Consider the following 7,977-nt stretch of genomic DNA (forward strand, 5'->3'; position numbering starts at 1 on the left):
ATTGTCATAATTCACTTTCATAGCACTCCTATGAGAGCTAGTGAGTGAAAGATCTCAAATTCAAACCCACACCCATCTGATTACAGGATAAAGCAGCAGCTCCTTAGCAGGGCTTGTGAAGAAAAAAGGTGAGAAATTCTATCTCTGTTCCTCTACCTGATTACAGGTTCCCCTCCCTGTCTTCTCACCTCACCACCTGCCTCCCTGATGGACCACTGATTGAAAGGACTGTTAATGAGATTTTTGCTCTCTCTCCTCTGCATCTTTACCTTTTCACAGCCAAGCAGGCAGTGGTTCTTCCCTGCATTGTTATGGCTGGACTGCCCAGTACACAGTAGTGTCATAAAACACACGCATACACACACACAGAGGGAGAGAGAGAGAGTGCAAATATGCACCACCAAGATTTTAAAAACAGCTCTGAAGAGATACTTTTCCTGCACAATCAACATCTCACTTCTGCTTAACTCCTGTGGTCTTTTCTGTTGACCCCCCTTGGTTCCTGATCCCGGGTACACCTCTGCCAAATAAATGCATTAAAACAACAATAACCTCTCATTGCTATCATTTTGCAAAAGAAACAATATTTTAAACACCAAACTAGACATAGTCTCAGATTGAGATATCTCTTAAGCAAAATAAATTTACCTTTATGAAAAAATATATGCTAGACTCATCTCCCAATACTAAAGCCATGTAGCCTACCACGATCTCAATCTTTAGATTGAGAAACAAACCTGGAACAACTCACAGACTCTCCAGTGCCAACCATTCTGCGAGAGTGATGTCTGCACTTCCACGCTCCAGATTCAGGAGAGATTTGAAGTAGCTCCTCTTCACAAAAAGGTAGGCATCCTTGGCTTGCATCACCTCCCTATTCTTTTTACTCATTCGTTGTTCAGAGAGTTAACCGACCCTTTTCTGAGCTACTCCAGGACATTGTACAGACTTCTGTTCTTATTATAGTATTTTTGGGTTACGGTTTGTCTGCCTCCTCCACTGTATTTTGAGCTCCTAAGGGCAAGGGTTTTGTCTATCTCATTTTGGCTTCCTCAGTGCCTAGCGCACTTTAGGCACTCAATCTGTTGAACAGAACTGACCCCTCACAGAAAAAAAACAAGCTCACTAAATTAATGGGAGGAACAGAGCTCAATGAAGTGTTTGGCAGAATAATTTTGTTAATGATTTTTAAAATTTTGTCAGTAATTTAAGACTGTAATCATTTTCAAACAGTTATTTAATTTTTGAGTCTTATTTTCAGTGAATGTAGGTTATATAAATTCCATTTCTAGATCTTTCCTTTTCCCACTGATGTCCCAAAGCAAAGGAATAAAGCTAGAGACCAGAGGATCCTAATAGGGTCATTATTCTCATTTGAGAACAATAACCTTGGAATCTCACCAATCACAATACCAGCTAGAGATCTGTTAGTCATTAATGATAAAGTTCATGCAAAGTTAAAACTATGTCTTAATCTCTTTGGGAGGCCCCATTACTTAGTATGTAATCAAATAATATATACTAAGTGAGTGAATAGATTAATTATTTTGGCAGAAAACTTAGTGTTCTAGTTTCTAAGAATAGAACAGTAATCCTCAGTATTTTTGTTCAGGGAAGTTGGGGGCAGGAGAGAGGAAGAGATGGGATAAGAATGAGCTGACAGATATATTTCATGCTCAGTGGTCTCACTTGAAATAAAGACATCACTTCCATGTTGTCTTGTCCTTTGATGCGAGTTTCTCAAAGACATCCAGACTGATCAGAGATTGTCTACACTCAGCAGTCCAGTCTTGATACTTTCTTAATCCATAGTCAAGAAACATGAAAGATATGCAAATTGTAAATTGTCTCTCTTCCATCTTCTCTCTCCTCCCTGAGTTCTATCTTTCTGCTTACCATAATGACTTAATAAATTGATTCTTAATTCAAGTTATAGAATTAAATATTATGTCTGAAATACCACTGGATGCATTTTGAACTTCCCACCATGTACTAGGCACTACTCTAGGCATTGGGTATATTGTGATGAAGAAAACGAAGGTCATCCCTAATTTCATGGAGTTTTATTCTGATAAGAAAGACAGATAGTGACCAGGAAACAAACATGTACACAGTTTCACAGAATGATAAATGAAGACAGTAAAGTGGAGAAATGGAATAAAGATCACTGAGGAAGTAGGATACAGCCACCTTACAAATATAGTGACCAGGAAAAATATTTTTGAGGAGGTCTCAGTGCTAAAAAGAGGAATAATTCCTCCCTACTCAAGCCAACTTGCTCAACGACATTTATCAATCAGAGTCATTTTCAGTTATAGCCTCCTTCAAAGAAGGGTTTATGTCAAAGTTCAGTGACTTATAAGAGATGTTCTATAAGTGGCCATTACCTGATTAATCTTCCTTGCATATGCACTTAGAATCCCGTTAACTGGAAAAATCATTGGGTTGCTCCAATGAGCCTCTGACAGTTACACAAGAAACTTATTCCTCATCAAAGATTTACCCAAACTACCAGAGACCACCTGACGATGTGTTTTACTTTCTTTCACCCTAAATGCTCTTCACCCACTGGGATATTATCTGTTGACATGCAACATCTGTTGTTCATTTTCGAACACTAATCCCTGCGGTGTGTCCTTTGGGTGATCAAGCTTGCTCTAAAGCTTGCTATAAAATATTCAAGAAGATTTGGACTCTCCTATTTTTCCACTGACATTTTTACCCCTCCTTTGATTTCAACTTGATTTTATTTTTCCTTTGCTTCCCTTCCCACTATTTTACTTCTTTCTTTAAGTAGGGCTTTTCTGTTCTTCTATGTGTACACACTGCTTTGAGCACATGCTCTTAAACTTACAAAGCTCACACAATTCAAGCAAGTTATACTTTTAGAAAAAAATCCCTTACACTAGCATTATTTTATTAGAAAATAAAACTTTTTAAAAGGTCAAACCTATTCTTCTGGGAAAAACATGTTTTTCATATTTAGGGTCAATCAAAATTTATACTTCAGAGACCTGTCATAAACTCCTAGGTGTTAGGAACCCCTCCTTCATCACTGACTTTGAAGTTAGGAGTTTAAACCAAAGATAATAAAAAGAATCACACTTATATTTATACTTGTCCAATACCTTCATTCCAAGACATAATAACAACCTTCAAGTAAATTAAACTCTCAATCACTTTTTTCACAGATAAATATTATGATGAATAAGTAGTAGTATGTTAATCTGCCAGACACACAATAAAAACTGTGCTAAAACTAAAATAACAGGTCTCCATGAATTATTTCTATTATATTTTCTCCTCCTTCTGCTTCCAAGAGTCCTCCCTTGCCCTATCTTTCAATTTGCTCTGAAGTGGCTAATTTTGATATGAAAGACTTCTGTCTTCCAATCATTTCAATGACAATGCACTGAAATTGTTAAACAGTATGTTACTCGATATTAAAACTACGACAGAATGGGTTCATTGGGAAGTATAATTTGTTTGACATTTTCATCTTTCCAGATGTTACAGAAGTTTCCTTTATTCACCAAGCCAAAGAACTGGGATACATAAATAGCTTTGAAATTGACAGGTAATTTCAAAATAGTTTACAAAAATCAAATTTTTTCCCTGATTCCTTCTCCACGCCTTCTCTGAAAATTTCAGGAGCAACATTTCCTATGAGCAAAGTGCTCAAAAGGTAACATGTTCTTCACTTCTGGTACATTTTTAAAATTCCATAAAGTATGTCATAAGACTCTTCCTAAATCTTCAAAATTCCTGGTCCTATGACCAATAAATTAATCAAAAGCCATATGTTATCTAGTGAGTCTCCCCAGGACATGATAGATGTCCATGTGGCCTACAATCTAAATACTGGGCAGCTCAGGAATTCTGTGGAGGGAGAGAGGATGGAATGAGAAGCAGAGACCTATTCACATCCCAGCTCCATTCATATCCATCCTGGTAACTCTGGGCAAGGCAAGCCTCCTCTACAGGCCTCAGGTTCAGGCAGAGATGGAGTAAAATAAGGACTTTTGACTCTAATTTCCTTTCTTGCTTTAAAAGTATAACTTATTCATTTGTTGAAAGTCACCACTGGAAAGCAACAGGCAAAGTAATCGAGAATAAATAAGCCACACTGTGTGCTCTCCAGCCCCATTTTCACTTTAAACTGTCCCACCAGTACTCCTCACACAAATCAAGACAGCTGGGTTAACTCGAACCTTGTGGGGAAAGCATTTATATCACCACAGGAAGGGGATTCAGAGTACTCAGCCTCTACTAGATTCATTAAAATGGGTACATAGACCAGAGAGCACATCAAGTTAAGATTTTTCTAACACAGAGATCCAGCTCTTTCAAACATTAGAGAATGCTTCCAATTGGAGGAAGACTTAGGTGGCATTTCTCCCCTAGTAGAGGAGCTGTTCCAGAAGCACTTTGATATGCCAAGAGAATTAATTCAGGTGACCAGAGCAAGGGGTTTCCACATGTGCAGGTGGTGAAGCCTATTCATGAAACACTTCCCAGCAGCCCAACCCATAAGGAAGTGCTGCCTCCAGATCTGTTTGAGCACTGCTGCAGTCTGGTTTCCTCCTTAATGTGGAAAACCTATGTTTCTGATTATTTTCCCAAAACTGGCATGAACTAGCAGTGAGTAACACATTGCAAAAGAGCTCTGTGCTGGGCAGCCACACAAGCTACGGCCCTTCAGATCCAGTGTGGCAACACTAGGAAAGGGTCGGGCCTTCTGGCTCCCACCACAGCCCCTCTGCCGAACAGCGCCGTGGGGCCACCTCACACAGGCCTTTCCACCTGCCCACCCCACACTGGCTTTTCTAAGCTGCCTCTTGCTTTGCAAGGTCTCCCAGCTTCATTCACACTGCAAATTTCATTCCATTACCATGTCGAAGCCTCCTCCCAGATTATTAATCAAGATGTGAAATAAGATAAAACCTAATCCGCAGTCCCTCAGCTACGAATGCTCAAAGCCAGGCTCATTAAACATATCTGTCAACAATGGATTACACCAGCCTTAGGCCCCAAATTGATTGGAAGTCAGGAGGAGGCAGTGGGGTGGGTTTGGGGGGAAGCATTTGGTTGCACAATATATTCAAAAGAAGGAATTCCTTTTAAGGTGTGGCCAATTAAATCTGTTCAGAGATAAGTATAGGCTATACAGTTTTATAGATTCTTTTCTCCAGTTGTTAATGGCAGCCGAAGTGATGGGAACACAGAACTGGTAATTCATGTACCATGTGTGTGAAAAGCTGAAAATCATTATGAATGGAAGTAAAGCAATATGCCATCTTGGAAGCAAACCCAGTGAATTCTTGCATGGATTCAAATGCTATTTCCTTGTGTCAAAAAAAAAAAGAGAGAAAAAAATATTGAATTCTGTTTAAGTGTTTAAAGTCACATTTCACTAAGGTTCTTATCTATCATCCTGTCATTAGCATCCTCACCACCATCCCCATCCTGAGATACTTTGTATTTATATTGGGCTTTTCAAGTTCAAAGCACAAAGCAGACATACCAGGCAATTAATCACTTTGAGGAATGTGAGTTGGGTGGAATGCCTTCCCAGCAAATGTATTCCTAACGTGTCACTGGAGGATCCAGTCAATGGGAGTGTTCCTGGCCCACAATTTGATGTCGTAAGTTGGCAGTTTGTCAGATTTCAAATATACTTTTTCACCTACCAAACTGACAGCCCTATTTACTGAATCAAAGGAAAAGTGATTTTACCAATCTTTTAACATTAAGAATTACTCTTCTCCATTTGGGTGTTTTGGGTAGTAGCCACATTTTATACACATCAGAAGGAACAAAAAGCATGGGAGAAGTAAAATTAAATAAATATATTAGTTGTTTTACAATGAGAAAGTGAGCAATAGGGAAAAAAATCAAATCTGAAGAGATTTATAATGGGAAACAGATGTGGACATGAAAGTGATTTGAAGTAACCAACAGGCTCCAGACATCTTCCAAGAATATGTTTCATATACATAAACATTTAACAGCACAATAACTAGGCCAAAATTGCCCAATTTCAAAACTTCACCTGCGTTCCTAAGTTTGCTTTTTGTTCCTTGAGATTAAATAGGACAAGCAGAGTTTCCCATATTTGAGCTGTTTATTAACAATTATTTATGATGGACAATGAAATGAGGCATATCTGTTTTGCTTTTCTGTCCTGGTAGGTTTTATATTCTGCTTCCAATTCCCATACCCCCGTGCTGTTCTATTTGAATTTCCAATGCAGCAGAGGAAATGGCTTCTAAAATATTAAAATCCTGTTTTCATTGACTTTCTTTACGCTTTGTGACCACATTTCTATTCAGATCAGGTTGCACAGCTTTTAACTTCTCCAAGTCTAAACTTAAAGTTAGAGCAACTTCATGGTACTCCTTAAGTGGATATCTCTTATAACAAGGGAGAACGCAGTCTGGAAACTTCAGAGCATCCAGGCCAATGGGATGACTCTTAAAAAAAAAAAAAAAAGAGATTTTTATTCCAGTTTTCTGATTTTTTGAAATGGTCTTGAACTACAACTGCATTTTGAAACAGGGGCTCCTTTGGAGCAAGACACCAATCTGGTAAAGTTTCCAAGAGAACAAACTTGCCTGGGTTCACATGGCTGAAAAAGAAAGTCTCAGCCATGTCCCCAGTACTCACCCTATGATTTCTCTCCTGACCTCCAATCTTGCATTCTCTAAATCTCAATTTTCTACACAGGAATTCTTCTTATTGTTCTCATATTATCCCTTTTGCATATTGCTTGGCCTCCCTGAAGGCCAAGAAATGCAGTCAAGGAAAATGAAGCTGGCCATTCTCTATGAGACAATCAGGTTCTAAAGCCTCAGCTCAGTCTCCAAAGAAAAATTATCTGTGAAGTTGAACTTGGGGCCTCCAGAGTCTGCCCCCAGGAATCCTGATTGCCTTTCCCTAAGTAACAACCCTCACTGTAATATTACAGTTCTAATAATTAATGCCTCTATGCTGTTTTATAGTTCACAAAGCATTTTCATATCTTCACAAGAGTTCTGTGACAGAAGGTGGCAGGTTTTGTGTTAGCTATAGTTTACAGATGAGGAAACTTTCATTCAGAGAGGTTCTATGAATTGTCTAAGATCACAAAGATAATTAGTAGAGAAGCTAGGGCTCTACATCAGGACTTCTAATTTCCAATCCTATTTTCCTTCCTACATACTGCTTGTGTTCCTATCATTTCATTTCCTGAAAGCAGGGTCATTCTCAGAAGTTTTTGTTTTCCTGGCGCCTCCCTTTCCTCTCAAGTACAAGTAGTTGACAGAAGGTTTGGGAAATCCATTCAGACTACGGTCAAACACCCTGTGGGCGGATGTGGTCTGTCTAAACTCCATCCCAATTCATTTCACTTGGATCTAAAGTAAGTCTCGGTCATGTTACAGATGGTTTTTAATTTAACAATTACTTATGAAGCACCTTCTTTTCAGGCACTAAGCTCTGAGGAGATAACAATCGATAAGACTGACCCCTCGCCAGCCATTGAGGAGCTCACAGTCTAAATTAGACATATAATTACAGTCAAATAGAACAAGTCATACAAAAGAGGGCACTCAGGGCACTGAACAGAAATGATCATGGAAGGCTTCCTGGAAAAGGTGGCATCTAAATTAAGGCCTGAAAGATGAGGTAGCCAAGTGAAGAGATGGGGAAAACTATTTCAGTTAAAATATATATGTATATTTCACAGGCGAGTTGTTGTTTTATGGATATAGAGTTGCAGTTTGACAAGATGAAAAAGTTCTTGAGATCAGTTGCACAACAATGTGGAGACATATAACATTACTGAACTATATGTATTTTAACTCAATTAGAAATAAAATGTATGCATTTTTTTTGGCATGTAAAATGAGGCTAAGACCAGTCCCACTTAATGTAAATCCCGGGCCACCATTCCTGAACCTTTTACTGATTTTACATCATTCCCTGGTGAGAAATTTC

At 38.7% G+C, this 7,977-nt stretch overlaps 1 annotated feature.

Moving 5' to 3' along the window:
* Window positions 4,258-4,759: an enhancer, noted in NCBI's record as "H3K4me1 hESC enhancer chr7:91285565-91286066 (GRCh37/hg19 assembly coordinates)". NCBI's record gives its function as "activates a minimal SCP1, AML or CMV promoter by ChIP-STARR-seq in naive H9 embryonic stem cells {active_cell/tissue: H9 hESC(naive)}" and the evidence as "EXISTENCE:reporter gene assay evidence [ECO:0000049][PMID:30033119]".

This window comes from Homo sapiens, chromosome 7 (assembly GCF_000001405.40).
Source record: "Homo sapiens chromosome 7, GRCh38.p14 Primary Assembly".
NCBI classification, from domain to species: Eukaryota; Metazoa; Chordata; class Mammalia; order Primates; family Hominidae; genus Homo; species Homo sapiens.